We start from the raw sequence: 16,182 nt of genomic DNA, 5'->3' as shown, positions 1-16,182 counted from the left end.
CCTCCCAAAGTGCTTGGATTACAGACGAAGAATATTTTTAAGAAGGGCAAAAGCACATGTGAGGGAGTACAAAAATGGCAAAACAAGAGAAGACTAACAAATGAAAGCACAATGGAAGACTAGAAAGATATGATATACAGACGCATCATCACACTCCAAAACTCAGACATTCTAGAAAGCATGGGCAGTTCACAGATGGCCAGTCTCTGCCAAACTGGGGGAGAATATTAACCTCTTTATATTCTTCACAGCCACTGCCTCTTCTCCCTCCATTCCTTACCTTCTATCCAAAGCACCCTGTTTTGTCATTTCACTCAAACCTAACTTTACAGAATAGCTTCACATGTTCCAAAGTTACTCACTAGTTAATCCATATTCCGCTGAAATCCCCAGGTTCTAATGTAAATGACTTTAAATTTGGGGGAAAAAAAAAAGACTCTAAGTGTAAGAGAGGTGGTCATAATAACCAATCCTCAAAATGTTGCTACCACTCCACTTTATTTAATGGAGACGTTATGTAGTTGAAAGAACATTCTAACTTCTGTCTAGACCAGTGGTTTTTAATCTTTTGGAAGCCAAGATCCCCACTAAGAATCTCAGAAAGGCTCTAAACATGCTTTTTTTTTTTTTAAGCTTGTTTAAAAAAAAAAAAATCAGGCTGAGCAGAGTGGCTCACACCTGTAATCTCAGCACTTGTGGCCAAGGCGAGAGGATCACTTGAGCCCAGGAGTTGGAGACCAGCCTGGGTAACATGGTAAGACCCCGTCTCTACATTAAAGAAAAAAGCCGGGCATGGTGGCGCATGCCTGTAGCTGGCATGCCTGTAGTCTCAGCTACCCAGGAGGCTAAGGTGGGAGGATGGATTGAGCCCAGGACGTCAACGCTGCAGTGAGCCACGATCCTGCCACAGCACTCCAGCCTGGGAGACAGAAAGAGACCTTGTCTCAAAAATAAAATAATGGCCAGTGCAGTGGCTCACGCCTATAATCCCAACACTTTGGGAAGTGGAGGCGGGGAAATCACTTGAGCCCAGGAGTTCAAGAACAGCCTGGGCAACATGGTGAAACCCAGTCTCTACCAAAAATAAAAACAAAACAGAACAAAACAGCAGGTGTGGTGGGTACACCTGTGGTCCCAACTACTCGGGAGACTGAGGTGGGAGGATCGCTTGAGCTGGGGAGGCGGAAGTTGCAGTGAGTCGAGATAGCGCCACTGCATCCAGCTGGGTGACAGAGTGAGACCCCACCTAAAAAAAAAAAAATAACACAAAAATTAAAGTCTTTAATTTCAGGAGTTACAGGAACCCTCAATTAAGGTCTGTTTTAGACTCTATCATCACATTCATATTTATACTATGCTAGCAGTTTGAAATTACAATGTACAAGTAGATATCTATCCTTCTTCTCTGGAGGAATAGACTGTAACTTACTCCACTGTTCCCAAGAGAAACTAAATCAGACCCACTGCCAAAATTCTGCTGCACTACCTATTTCACCCTGAACAAGTATCTTAAATCTCTACAGGTCTCAATATCCACAGGGTTGCTGGAAGCGCAAAATAAGATAACGTATGCTTAGTTATGATAAGAGACACAATTATGCTACTATTATAATCATGGTCATCCGTTGAGTTTCCGTTTTTTGGTTTTTTTTTGTTTTTTTTTGGAGTCTCCCTCTGTCGCCCAGGCTGGAGTGCAGTAGCGCGACCTCGGCTCACTGGAACCTCCACCTCCCGGGTTCAAGCGACTCTCCTGCCTCAGCCTCCCGGGTAGCTGGGACTACAGGTGTGCACCACCACGCCCGGCTAACTTTTTTTCTATTTTTAGTAGAGACGAGGTCTCGACATGTTAGCCAGGTTGGTCTCCAACTCCTGACCTCAGGCAATCCGCCCTCCTCGGCCTCCCAAAGTGGTGGGATTACAGGCGTGAGCCACTGCGCCCCGCCAATATCCTTTTAACATCAACAATAAAAACAGTGACTTGTAGCTAACACTTAGTGCTATGTGTCAAGCAATACCCTAAATGTTTAAAATGGATCATCCTATCAAATTCTATTAATGTTACAACTCCATCTATGGATGAAAAGTGTAACTGGCCCCAAATACCCAGCTTATAAACGACAGTGCTGTGATTATTCAAGCCAAAGCAAACTGACTCAAGATTCTGTGCACATCCACCTTTAATAGCTTCTTCCGTCACTCTTTAGATCCAATTACTAAAGTCTTATTGAATCCAAAATAGATCACATTATTTACCTGTAAAGAGGAAAAATACCCTAAAAACATTTGTGGAAAAGGTTAAAAATTGTAAGCCATACTAACGATTTGTAAGAACTTTAGAATTTTTTTTTTTTTAAGCAAAGGCAGCTACCAAAGTGTTCTGGGCGGGGTGGGGGGGGGGCGAGGGAGGTGAGTATGAGTGGAGTTGGACCCTTATAAAGGGACAGCGACAAACACCTCATACTCAAAACAAGGGGACTTCCCCTGTCATTTGCGCCGTCGGGCCACTGCAAATGTCCGTGCTGAGATGCCTACGTTGTCACTCGACACAGCCGCCAAAGCTCACCCGGAGCTGCGTCAGTCCCCACTGGGTTCCTCCAGGCCAAGGAGGTACGACCTCCGCCGCAGCATATAAAGTAAATGTCCAGGACATGGGAAGAAACCCGCCGATACAGCACCCGGGTGCCCAAGCCCCCGAGAACTAGGCCGCGCGGGTACTATGGGGCCAGAAAGCCCGGGCCAGGGCGGGCCCACGAGCGAGCACCGTCGGGAACAAACCGGGAGAAAGAGGAAGATCCGGCGCCAAAGGTATCCCGCCCACCGCGGTCCCCCCAGGACTCTTCCTGCGCTTGCAAGCGCCACGCCGCCCACAGGACTGCGCCAGCCGGCCGGCGCCTCAACAGAGCGCGCCAGGGAGCAGCGCCCGTCAGGAGCCATGACGCCTGAGCCATCGAGGCCGCCGCCGGGCCACGTCGAGGCCACCGCCGCCCGGCCAGGTCGAGGCCGCCGCCGCCGCCCGGCCAGGTCGAGGCCGGCGCCTCAACAGAGCGCGCCAGGGAGCAGCGCCCGTCGGGAGCCATGACGCCTGAGCCATCGAGGCCGCCGCCGGGCCACGTCGAGGCCGCCGCCGCCGCCCGGCCAGGTCGAGGCCGCCGCCGCCGCCCGGCCAGGTCGAGGCCGCCGCCGCCGCCCGGCCAGGTCGAGGCCGGCGCCTCAACAGAGCGCGCCAGGGAGCAGCGCCCGTCGGGAGCCATGACGCCTGAGCCATCGAGGCCGCCGCCCGGCCAGGTCGAGGCCGCCGCCCGGCCAGGTCGAGGCCGCCGCCCGGCCAGGTCGAGGCCGTCGGTCTCTTCGAGATCCACTCACCTTTCCAGGCGACGGGGCGGAGCCCTGCACCGAGGCGACGTACCGCTCCCCGTAGGCCTTGCTGCGCCTCATCGCACCGCCAACCTGGCTCCCGAGACGCGTGAAACCAGCGCTCAGCCCCGCAGCAGTCGCCAATTCCAACAGGAAAGCGCCTGAAAGCCACTGACGTAGCCGGCGGAGGACCACTGTGACGCACTTGTGTACTGCGTCAGCACTGTGTATCCTTGGCGACGTCGGCGCTCGAGCTGCACTCGGCCGGGCTCTTGGCAGCACCCTGTGCTCTGAGGGTGTCTTGCCCGCCGGGCGCCGTGGCTCACGCCTGTAATCCCAACACTTTGGGAGGCCGAGGCGGGCGGATCACCTGAGGTCATGAGTTGGAGACCAGCCTGGCCAACATGGCGAAAACCCATCTCTACTAAAAATACAAAAAATTACCCGGGCGTGGAGGTGGGCCCCTGTAATCCCAGCTACTCGGGAGGCTGAGGCACGAGAATCGCTTGAAACTGAGAGGCGAGGGTTGCAGTGAGCTGAGATCGCGCCACTGCACTCAAGCCTGGGCGAGAGTAAGACTTCCTAAAAAAAAAAAACAAAGCGCATTCTCAAATCCCGCAGTCAGTCCTGCGGGTGGAACACTTAGAGGAAAAGTCAGACCTCTCTATATGCAGGCCCCTCCAATACTGTATTTTCTGTCAGCTTATAAGTGGACCCAGGCAGTTCAAACCCATGTTATTCAAGGGTCAACTGTGTATATAGGAACAGCCATTCGCCTGGCACAGTGGCTCAAGCCGGTAGCCCCAGCACTTTGGGAGGTCGAGGCGGGAGGATCCCAAGAGTTCCAGGTTACAATGAACTGTGATAGCGCCACTGCATTCCATCCTGGGCACCAGAGTGAGACACTTGTCTCAAAAAAAAAAAAAAGGAAAAGGAATAGCCCCCCAAATCTATATATATTTCACTAGCAGAATAACAGAACATACCAAAATTTAACAGTAATAATGTAAAGATTTTCAGCCGTCTGTATTTTCCAAATCTTCAAAAATGTCTATTTTGGGAATTTGGATATTAAAATCTTACTTTTAAAACAAAATTTAACAAAACATTTTTAATAGTGAGAGCCTTTTAGATTTTAAAAGCTCACATTTGTGTAAACATTACAGTCTTAATTATGTGGACAAATATCAAATGCGTTGATATTTTTAACTGGAAATTTGGGCTATTTTGGTTGTGGATAATTTTTTATCCTTTTTGTTTTTCCATATTTTCTAAATTTTGATATAATGAACAAGTATTGCCTTTCTAAAAAAGGAAAAACAGCATTTTGTTTTATTTCAACCATATTGGATGTGAATAAAAGAAAAGAAAAAGATGATTCTGAGCTTACCAGTGTGTGTGGCCCACATTAACAGAAATGACATGTAAAGAAAATCTAGTTTGGAGTGGAAAATCCTATTTTAGGTAGTTGATTTCTTTCACTTGAGGTACCATTTATCTATCCATGTGGGGATAGCCTAGTAGGAAGATGAAATGGTAGGACAGAGATCTTGATGGAAGCCAGTAGTTGTGGCACAGTTCTGAGGCCCAGCTACTCCAAAGGCAGAGGGGGGAACATCCCTTTAGCCCAGGAGTTGGAGACTGCAATGAGTTATGTTCATGCCTTTGCACTCCAGCCTCTGGAAGAGAATGAGATTCCTATCTCTAAAATGAAAAGAGGGCCAGGCACGATGGCTCACGCCTGTAATCCCAGCACACTGGGAGGCCCAGATGGGTGGATTGCTTGAGGCCAGGAGTTCAAGACCAGCCTGGCCAACATGGTGAAACCCTATCTCTACTAAAAATGCAAAAATTAACTGGGTATGGTGGTGCACGCCTGTAATCCCAGCTTCTTTGGATGGCTGAGGCACCAGAATTGCTTGAACGTGGGAGGTGGAGGTTGCAGTGAGCTGGGATCGTGCCAGTGCACTCCAGCCTGGGTGACAGAGCAGACTCTGTCTCAAATAATAAGAATAATAATATTTAATTAATTTAAAAATAAAAACCAAAAGAGAAGATCTGATGAACTTAGAAGTCATATATCTCAGGTGATAGGTGAAACCACAAGTTTGCCTTGAAAAGTGTGTTGATGACAATAGCCATACCTAACAAGTACTTGCTGTGTTCCAAAGCTCTTTTTGTTAGCACTTCATTTGTATTAACTAATATCATTCTTCCACCAACTTTGTAAGGGTACTGTTATTATCCTCAGTTTTTACAGATAAGGAAAGCAAAAGACAGCCAGGTACCATGGCTCATGCCTGTAATCCAAAACTTTGGGAGGCTGAGGTGGGAGGATCACTTGAGCCCAGTAGTTCAAGACCATCCTGGGCAACATAGCAACACCCTGTGCTTACAAAAAAAGAGAAATTAAAAACTAGCCAGGCATGGTGGTACATGCCAGTAGTCCCAGCTATTTGGGAGACTGAAGCAGGAGGATCTCTTGAGGCTAGGTGTTGGAGGCTGCAGTGAGCTATGTTCACTCCACTGCACTCCAGCTTAGGTGACAGAGAAAGACCCTGTCTCAAAAAAAAAAAAAAAAAAAAAAGGAAACCAAGAGAATGAGCACTGAAGCAACTTGCCCAAACACACTCACCTAGTAAAAATGGTATCATTAATTCATTTATGCTGAATATGTTGAAAAGGAGTGCCCAAAGAGAGAACCTTCTTTTCTTTCTTTCTTTCTTTTTTTTTTTTTTTGAGACGGAGTTTCACTCTGTGGTCCAGGCTGGACTCCAGTGGCGCAATCTCGGCTCATTGCAACCTCTGCCTCCCAGGTTCAAGCAATTCTTGTGCCTCAGCCTCCCGAGTAGCTGGGATTACAGGTACGTGCCATCACACCCGGCTAATTGTTGTATTTTTAGTAGAGACGGGGTTTCACCATGTTGGACAGGCTGGTCTTGAACTCCTGGCCTCCAGTGATCCATCTTCCTCAGCCTCCCAAAGTGCTCGGATACAGGTGCCCGGCATCCACCGTGCCCAGCATCCAAAGAGAGAATCTTCTTGAGGAACTCAAAAGACTTTTCTCTTTTGGATAAGCAGTTCATATTTCTGCATTTATTACGGATTTTCACATTTTACTTCATTTCACACTACTTTTTTTTTGTTCAGTGGTATAACATTTTCACCATGGCACTGAAAATTCCATTTGCATTAATGTCCAATGTCATATATTCCTACCATGTTGCAAATACAGTTCATTTGTCCAGCTTTACTGAGGTATAATTCACAAATAAAAATTGTATACCTTTACTAGGTACAACATGATGTTTTGCTATCCAAGCATACCTCATTTTATTGCACTACATTTTATTGTACTTCACAGATACTATGTTTTTGACAAATTGAAAGTTTATGCCCACTCTGTGTCAAACAAATCTTTCTGCATCATTTTTCTTTTTTGAGAGAGTCTCACACTGCCGCCCAGGCTGGAGTACAGTGGCACGATCTCAGCTCACTGCAACCTCCTGTGGCAGGCCAGGTCTCACTAATGCAGACTTCCATAACAACTGTTTCAGTAATGACTGAATGAAGTTAAATACTAAAAGCCAGTGCCCTTATACAAAGGCTGGGATGTAACAAAAGGCCATCAAAACTTTTGCCTAGGCCTGTCCTGGGCCTTAAAGCATGACAAAATAATGAAGGAATTCTTTTTATTTATTTATTTTTTTTTTTTTTTGAGATGGAGTCTTGCTTTGTCTGAATATGTCAGCTTGCTTGATAGGTAACTTGATTGAGTCTAGGCGTTGCCCATGCCTACTCTGATCTTTACCCTCAACCTAAATAGCATATGTATAGTTCTCTTGATTAATCCTTAAAGTTTAACTCCCTACCTTACCCCCACCAAACTAGTATTTCTCCTCAAGGAAAATACTGTCTGCTCACACTGGGGCCATGGAAGAACCACCTGACATGAGTTTTTGTGATTTTCTGTTTATCTCAAAACTTGGCCTTCGGCATTTACATCTTGGATGGCTTTTTGTATCTCCATTTTCTCTTTATAGTTTCATAAACAGTTCCTCTTGAAAAATTATCAGTGGTAAAATCTGATGAGTATCAATAGTCTCCAAAGTGCTTTTTATCTTCATCCTTTATCCAATACATTCTTACACCCTCTGAAATTGTTTAGTTTGCAGAAACTTAGCTTACCCCTTTTTGACTATTTACAGCCATGGCAATTTTTACTTGGTTTGTTTTACTGCCCAAGCCAGTCTTAGAATTTCTCAAAGCCTCAACCCAAATATAAAATCCTTCAGGAATGAGACTTAGTACAAATATATGGGCAATATTATAAATTTTAATTAGCCTAATGGCCTCCATAGTCCTATGACAACCTTTGCAATTTTTGCTGAACTCTATGCAAGGTATCTCTACCCAAGAGATAACTGAGAATTCCTTTCTTACTTACTTCTGTTACAAGTAATTCCTCTTTTGTTTTTAAAACTACACGTGGCTCTCCTAATTTTTACCTCCTGAATCAACAACATATTTACTTATATTTGCCTCATTAGAACCTAACTTGCATATACACATAATAACTCCAGGTATATTGGAGTTATTATGTAGCTCCAATGTAATAATTAGACAATTTAAGAGACTTCTCATGTCTTCCAGGAGATCATGCTTACCTGGAAGTGTCTGAGAGGACACTGATCTCCCTGGATGGGGGTTACAAAAGTTGAAAAAGCTATCAAAACTTGGTTAATAATGCTGACTGAAAAGATAAAGCCATAAAGCCCTAGAAGTATAACCAACTAATCTAAAATAATTAATCCAAGTGGTTACAGGTAACAGCATAGCTTTAGATTGCTTAATGGTACACCAAGAAAAAAATATGACATATTGCTAACAGTCCCTGATGAATGTGGAGGGAAGGTTGACTAACCTATAGTCAAACTGAAAGAAAAGACAATTTGGCTAATCAAAAGTGGACTCAGAAGGACCCTTGAGATCTGACCTCCTGGTCAGAATAAGGAAATCTTTGGTCATCAATCTAAAGTGACTTCCAGTGTCTCCTTATCATCATTCTGGTTATTCTTGTCTCAGTCTTCTAATGCCTGGTCTCCAGAGCTGTATATGCCACTGCATAGCTGTTATTTCACTGATGGCACAAAAAATTATTTTGCAATGGAACGAAAAATAAAGGGATTCTGATATTCAGTCAGGCCAAATGCCAAGCCCTTCAGTTAGAATTCCTACAAAGGTAATAAGCCATACAGCAGTGAATACGTAATCATCTGCTCTACTTCTACAGGACTAAGGGATGGTGAAAATAGGGGAGGGGATTGTTAAAACTCTGCCAGGTTCCCAGTCTGTGCACTCAAAAGTGTTGACCCTATGTCCCTGAGCTTAACATTCATATCCTGTCTCAGACCTCTTTGTTAAGCAATGTCTGTGCTTTTGTGACAAAAGCAGAAAAAATAAAATAAAATAAAATAAAATGGAGAATTTCGAGTCCCCAAATGAACCAATTATAACTTAATGCCTAGAACTGGCCAAGCACAGTGGCTCACGCCTGTAATCGCAGCACTTCGGAGGCCAAGGTGGGCAGATCGCTTCAGGTCAGGAGTTCGAGACCAACCTGGTCAAAATGGTGAACCCGTATCTCTACTAAAAATACAAAAATTAGCCAGGCATGGTGGCAGGTGCCTGTAGTCCCAACTACTTGGGAGGCTGAGGCAGGAGAATCTCTTGAACCTGGGAGGCAAAGGTTGCAGTGAGCTAAGATGGAGCCACTGCAGTCCGGCCTGGGCGACAGAATGAGACTCTGTCTCAAAAAAAGGAACTTAGTGCCTAGAATCCTTCCCAACATGTAATAAGCTTTATTTTCTTCTTCATCTATCTCTCCCACTTTCTGTGCGGAAACACTGAACTCATTACTTAACCAGCAAGCAGATTGATTTACATTTATTTATTTAAGCTCTGGTTGTGTTTGTATTATTCCTTAAAGGTATTTATAAAATATTTTATTGAGGCCTGGTGCGGTGGCTCATGCCTGTAATCCCCGCACTTTGGGAGGCCAAGGCAGGCAGATCATGAGGTCAGGAGATCTAGAGCATCCTGGCTAACACAGTGAAACCCCGTCTCTACTAAAAATACAAAAAAATTAGCTGGGCATGGTGGCATGCGCCTGTAGTCCTAGCTACGTGGGAGGCTGAGGCAGGACAACAGCGTGAACCCGGGAGGTGGAGCTTGCAGTGAGCCGAGATTGCGCCACTGCACCTCCAGCCTGGGTGATAGAACGAGACTCCATCTCAAAAAAAAAAAATTTTTTTTCCAACAAATTTGTTTTTGATAAGAAAATATCTGATAATTATTAATTATCTGCCCCCATCCAATGCAAGATGGAAGAAGTAGTGCTGAACATTAATCTAGAAAATTAAGAATTTTTAAATATATCCATAAGCTTGTATGTTTGACATCATGAAGAAAACCACACTATTCCTAAAATATATTATACTTTATGTCATAAGCAGAGACAGACTATTGCATGAATAAACCAAACAGAATTAGCTTACCATAGCTTTTTTTTGAGACATTTTAAAAGTTATTATTTTTATATTTCATTTACTCTCTTGGGTATCTAAGCTAGAATTGATTTACTTTCATTACCTTTCAAATTATCCTCTTGATTTAGGCTTTCAGTGCAGACTGGGGAACTAAAAATTCCACAGAAACAAATCTCAGAAAATAAAATTCCCTTAGAATATGAGTATCAGAAAATAATCTTCTAGGTGTCATGACATCAAAAGTTTAAAAAGTTGATACTTTCCACAATATTTTCATATAGCAGTTCTCTAGAAATGCTTACTGGATGAATCTACAATGAACCAGAGTGAAACTGCCTGTTACCGAGTAATATCCCAATGGGCATTTGGTCTGTAAATACCTAATATCCCAATCAAGTATCTGCTACTAGATTAACTGTAATTGTAAGGTACTGCAACTGGGAGGCATAGGGGAGTAGATTTTTTAAAAGAAATGTTCCAAATTATACTTTGGCCTAAGTATTCAGCCAAAGTATGCTTCTCCAATTCTGCCTTGGCCCATCTCAAGTCATTTTTGGTATCCCTGAATGTCACATGGTCAGAGATTGCATGATCATTCAGTTACCATCATATCTAAACAGGGTAACAAAAATCTGGCCAGGCAGAGTGTCATGCCTGTAAGCCCAGCACTTTGGAAGGCCAAAGCGGGCAGATCGCTTGAGCCCAGGAGCTCAAAACTAGCCTGGGCAACATGGCAAAACCCCGTCTCTACCAAAAATGCAAAATTTAGCCGGGCGTGGTGGTGTGCGCCCGTAGTCCCAGCTACTTGGGAGGCTGAGGCAGGACAATCGCCCGAACTCGGGAGGCGGAGGTTGCAGTGCGCCGAGATTGCGCCACTGCACTCCAGTCTGGACGACAGAGCCAACCTCGTTTCCAAAAAAAAGTGAGTTGTGCACTGGGTCGCCAAGATGTCGTTCCCAAAGTATACTCCTTCACCCCTGGCCACTATGCCCTCAAACCAGCCGAATAGGACATGTCTTCGGAAACCCAGCAGGCGCAAGCCAAGTGGTTGACCATTAAGAGCCTGGCTGAAACCTGCTTACCCTAACTGCCGAGGGCTCATCGAAAATCCTGCCTTGATTCCTTGGACCTATGCAAGATCAGCAAGTGTCTTTCCTAATTTCAGACCCACTCCTAAAAACTCACTCTTGGGAGCTCTGTGTGGAATTGGGCCCCTCTTCTTCTGGTATTATGTTTTCAAAACTGACAGGGATAGGAAAGAAAAACTTATCTGGGAAGGAAAATTGGGTCCAACATTTAACCTGTCATATTAAGTCTGGCAATGATGACTATGTATTCTTGCTTAAATAAATCGTCTATTAATCATTAAACAAACAACAACAACAGAAAGTGAGAATTTTTTTTTTTTTTTTGAGACAGAGACTCGCTCTGTCTCCCAGGCTGGAGTGCAGTGGTGCAATCTGCTCACTGCAGCCTTCGCCTCCTGGATTCAAGCAGTTCTCCTGCCTCAGCCTGCCAAGTAGCTGGGATTACAGGCGCATGCGACCACACCCAGCTAATTTTTGTATTTTTAGTAGAGATGGGGTTTCACCATGTTAGCCAGGCTGGTCTTGAACTACTGACCTCAGGTGATCCACCCTCGACCTTCCACAGTGCTGAGATTACAGGCGTGAGCCACCACACCCGGCCCAAGAATATTTTTTCAAGTATGTCATATAGGTGCAGTGGCTCACGCCTGTAATTCCAGCACTTTGGGAGACTGAGGCCAGCAGATCCCTTGAGATTGGGAGTTTGAGACCAGCCTGGCCAACATGGTGAGACCCCGTCTCTACCAAAAAATACAAAAATTAGCCGGGCATGGCATTGTGGGCCTGTAGTCCCAGCTACTCAGGAGGCTGAGGCAGGGGAATAATTTGAACCCGGGAGGCAGAGGTTACAGTGAGCCAAGATCCCACCGCTGCACTCCAGCCTGGGTGACAGAGTTAGATGCCGTCTCAAAAAAAAAAAAAAAATTTACTCTTAGTATCTGAATATTCATTTTCCAATTTTAGGTGTTTTACATAAAACTTGGAATGAAAATCTTTTTGTGTCACTTTGTATGTTAAAATTTTCTCAATTAGATGAAGTATAAATGTACATTAATGCAAGAAGAAAATGTCACAATGATTATGAATGCTATTTATGTACGAAAGAAAGTAACAATTTTCAAATAGGCAAATAATAGTGTAATAATATTGAGAGAGTTAGCTAATGAATTTAAGAATATTAAATCCTTTTTCAGATGACAATTATAAAAACTTTAATGAAAAATACAAAGCAGAATAGAAATTTTATATCATAATTTCAATTGCATTCAGTTGTCATACCAGTATTATTTATACTAAACAAAATCATTTCTAAAGACTATATTTAATTTTTAGTTGTTTTATACCATGAAGTTTTTTTCTTCCTTTTTTTTCTGAGACTCAAAATCCATGAATCTTCTATGAGAAAATCTTATTTGGGGATTCTTCACATGTTTTTGTAGATAAATTAAAAGCAGAATGTTAACTCTACCACTTCGGAATTTTACGAGGAGGAAAACCTCCAAAAGTTCTTACAACATAATCATTTTTGCTCCAGATATTATATATGTGTATACATATTTATATACATACACGTATATATAAACACAGACACATATAAAGACGTTAGAGGAAGAAAGTTCCTCCACCTATTTTGTATTCCACTAACTTCAGTGGAAAGTGACCCTCAATTTAGTGTCTGTATGTGCATGACAGCAATCATAGGAACAATCTAGCAACAGGCAGCACTGAGAAAATTATCATTACTGCACTATAATGTCCTACTCTTAAAATAAGATTACTAATATTTCTGAGAATAAATTATAATAACTTCAGGGATAACATTTCATATCTTCACATATGCCAGAAGTTTACTCTATGATGATGATACCGACTTCTGCTCCAGCTTTAACAAATATTGGTTTTCACACTTGGCCATTTGGCATTCAAAAAAGGGATATTTTGTGCACTAAATGTACAGCCAAAATATGTAGGTAATTCCTATGTCAATTCATTATTTCATTCCATTTTCATGTGCTTATATAAAATATAATTTTAAAAGAGGATCTTATATATTCCAAGGATGTAGAAAACAACTCACAGCCTCCCTTATGGGTCTAACAGAAGATATCATAAAAAACTCAACCCCACACAGAAGCACCAGTGATCTAATAACATTTTATTGTTAACTGCCAATAATCAAGAAAAATCCATGCAAGAAAGGTGTTAGTTCTTCTGATCTCTATACATTTTCAATGAATTCCCTTCACAGGCTGAAACTTGTACACAATAGAATTGCTTTCCATAGCTAAAAACTTACAGATCTAAGTTAGCTAGACTTGACTTCATAGTCTCTTAAAATATAAAGATTATTAACATCCTTATACATTAAAATTTTAATATTTTAAGATTTAGACAAGTGTCACGTAAGATGAATTTTTAATTAACTAAGATGAAATTGTCTGTGATTCAGTAATATCCAAAATAAAAACATTTATAAATGCCCAAAATCCCAATCCAGCAACTGATACCAGAGTAACTATCCTTATGAAGCAAGGGAAAGATGGCTGAAACTGAATGCCACAGATAGGCTGTGGTTCTCACTCAGCTGCTTAGTCATCTTAGACAAGTTATTTGCCCTTCCAAGTCTGTTTCCTAAACTATAAAATGAATATATTATTATCTTCTCTGTCTATATGTTATAGACATATATATATAATATGAATATTATATATAAATATATATATAATGAATATAATACATAAATATATATATAATGAATATATTATTATCTTCTCTGTCTATATGTCTAACTACCAAATGAAGTTATGGAAATTACAAACTCTGATATATGTAAAATATTGAGTATCATGAGGGTTCCAAATCTAGGATCTTTATTTTCATACCAACTTTATGAATAGACTGTGATCGATTTTTATGTAGTTTTATGTTTACTTTTAATGTTTACTCTCTTTAGAAACTACTTGGAACTTGATTATTTATTTATTTGCCATTCAAGAATGTATGATTTATGAAAATGTATTAACAGTTATCTGAAGTAATAATGTTAAGCTAGAACTCAAATTACAAATAAAGAAAAACAAAACAAATATAAAATCATTTATAATAGAGAAAGCTTGCTCTTTGCCAAGAGTAATAATCTGCTGAAATCATTATTGTTAGTCACTTAATGACTACTGTCTTGGTTGGTACACATCAGCAGCAGTCAAATACCACCTCCCAGAACCCAACCACCCAAAAAAAGATACTGGGAATAAGAATGTCCTCAGAAAGCTCAACTGTAAAACTAAAACATAAACCAGAACATAGATTAGGAAGTCAAGCACGGAGGATCAAGTAAAAGATAGGACTAAATTTAAGATACTAACATGCAATGAAAAGAAATATATCTACCAGAAATATGGGGGTGAGTAGTTTGGTCAGTAATGAAAGCAGTGAAAAAGGAAAGGTACAAAACACTATCACATAAGCATTAACCAGGAGAAAGGATATCCTATAAGGCAGATTGATGTAAGTAACTGCTTGACGAGTATATCATGGAGCTGAGATTATCACTTTATCAGAGTCGATGCCATTTAAAACTTCTAGTCATTTATAATCAACTCCCTTGTTGTTATCTCATGATCTTGTTCAGTAGGCAACTATTGAAATTTGGTTTTCCATTCAGCATTCTACAGTGAAAGAATACATTCCCTGATGTAAATTTCTAGTCCTTATTTTACTTGAATAAACTGGCGTTCTCTTGTGATGGGGATGTATATGCTCAGATAAGAATGTGGGCTCTGGGGATGGAAGCTCCGGCCGCGGAGTGATGGTGGCCTCAGCGAAGATGGGCCGGGCAGGGACCATGGCAGTGGCAGCAGAGGTGGCAGGGGCGGGGCGGCTGGCGGTAGAGGAGGCTGTGGTCCTCAGGGGGCTGTAGGTGGAGGTATGGCTCGGGCCAGCAGCGGGAACGGCAGCGAGGAGGCCTGGGGGGCACTTCGGGCGCCGCAACAGCAGCTTCGAGAGCTGTGCCCAGGAGTGAACAACCAGCCCTACCTCTGTGAGAGTGTTCACTGCTGCGGGGAGACTGGCTGCTGCACCTACTACTATGAGCTCTGGTGGTTCTGGCTGCTCTGGACTGTCCTCATCCTCTTTAGCTGCTGTTGGGCCTTCCGCCACCGACGAGCTAAACTCAGGCTGCAACAACAGCAGCGGCAGCGTGAAATCAACTTGTTGGCTTATCATGGGGCATGCCATGGGGCTGGTCCTTTCCCTACCGGTTCACTGCTTGACCTTCGCCTCCTCAGCACCTTCAAGCCCCCAGCCTACGAGGATGTGGTTCACCGCCCAGGCACCACCCCCCGCCCCCCGCCTCCGCGCCTTATACTGTCGCCCCAGGCCGCCCCTTGACTGCTTCCAGTGAACAAACCTGCTGTTCCTCCTCATCCAGCTGCCCTGCCCATTTTGAAGGAACAAATGTGGAAGGTGTTTCCTCCCACCAGAGTGCCCTCCCTCATCAGGAGGGTGAGTCTGGGGCAGGGGTGACCCCTGCCCCCACACCCCCCTCCTGCCGCTATCGCCGTTTAACTGGCGACTCCGGTATTAAGCTCTGCCCTTGTCCTGCCTCCGGTGAGGCTGAGCCAGTCAAGGAGGTGAGGGTTAGTGCCACCCTGCCAGATCTGGAGGACTACTCCCCGTGTGCACTGCCCCCAGATTCTGTACCGCAGGTCTTTCCCATGGGGCTGTCTTCCAGTGAAGGGGACATCCCATAAGTAGTTTTGAGAGGGTGGATGGGTTACTTGCCCACCAGAAACAGCCCTAGTCCCAACTCCTTGCGTTCCTTTTGGCCCCTCCCTGCCTACCTAGAATCTGCCTGAAAGGGCTGGAGCCCTGAGGAGAGGGGCAGTATTGGGGGACTGTGCTAGCTTTACCCCCGCAAGACATACACAGGAGCCTTTGATCTCATTAAAGAGACGTGAACCAGCTAAAAAAAAAAAAAAAAAAAAAAAAAAAGAGTGTGGGCTCTGGAGTCAGGTTACTTTGAGCTCCTACTGACTTACTTTGTGATCTTGGGAAATTTACCAATCTGTTGTCTGTTTCCTCATCTGTAGAAAGGGCGCCTAATAATAGGACCTATTTCCCAGGGTTGTTGTGAGGATTAAACAATTCATGTAAAGCACTTAAAACAGTACTTGTCACATAGCAAGTGCTAA

The 16,182-nt window shown here is 43.4% G+C and overlaps 1 protein-coding gene and 2 pseudogenes across 10 annotated transcripts in view, besides 1 other annotated feature; 2 read left to right on the top strand and 1 right to left on the bottom strand.

The window, feature by feature from the left end:
* Window positions 1–16,182, bottom strand: part of RGPD1 (RANBP2 like and GRIP domain containing 1) — a 100,318-nt gene that overhangs the window by 68,305 nt on the left and 15,831 nt on the right. Inside the window, exon 1 of one of the 10 annotated variants that reach the window (NM_001382344.1) lies at window positions 3,364–3,554. The exons of the other annotated variants lie outside the window; for them this stretch is intronic. Coding sequence (NP_001369273.1) covers window positions 3,364–3,435 — 72 coding nt within the window. The 5' untranslated portion in view covers window positions 3,436–3,554. Of the gene's footprint in view, window positions 1–3,363; window positions 3,555–16,182 lie in introns of those variants that run through there. 10 annotated transcript variants of the gene reach the window in all.
* Window positions 2,659–3,422: an enhancer, noted in NCBI's record as "H3K27ac-H3K4me1 hESC enhancer chr2:87169373-87170136 (GRCh37/hg19 assembly coordinates)". NCBI's record gives its function as "activates a minimal SCP1, AML or CMV promoter by ChIP-STARR-seq in naive H9 embryonic stem cells {active_cell/tissue: H9 hESC(naive)}" and the evidence as "EXISTENCE:reporter gene assay evidence [ECO:0000049][PMID:30033119]".
* NDUFB4P5 (NADH:ubiquinone oxidoreductase subunit B4 pseudogene 5) lies at window positions 10,830–11,271 on the top strand (annotated as a pseudogene).
* WBP1P1 (WBP1 pseudogene 1) lies at window positions 14,763–15,952 on the top strand (annotated as a pseudogene).

This window comes from Homo sapiens, chromosome 2 (genome assembly GCF_000001405.40).
Source record: "Homo sapiens chromosome 2, GRCh38.p14 Primary Assembly".
Lineage (NCBI taxonomy): Eukaryota > Metazoa > Chordata > Mammalia > Primates > Hominidae > Homo > Homo sapiens.
The sequence above is the reverse complement of the archived record's forward strand: the minus strand, read 5'-3'. Positions and strand labels throughout refer to the sequence as shown.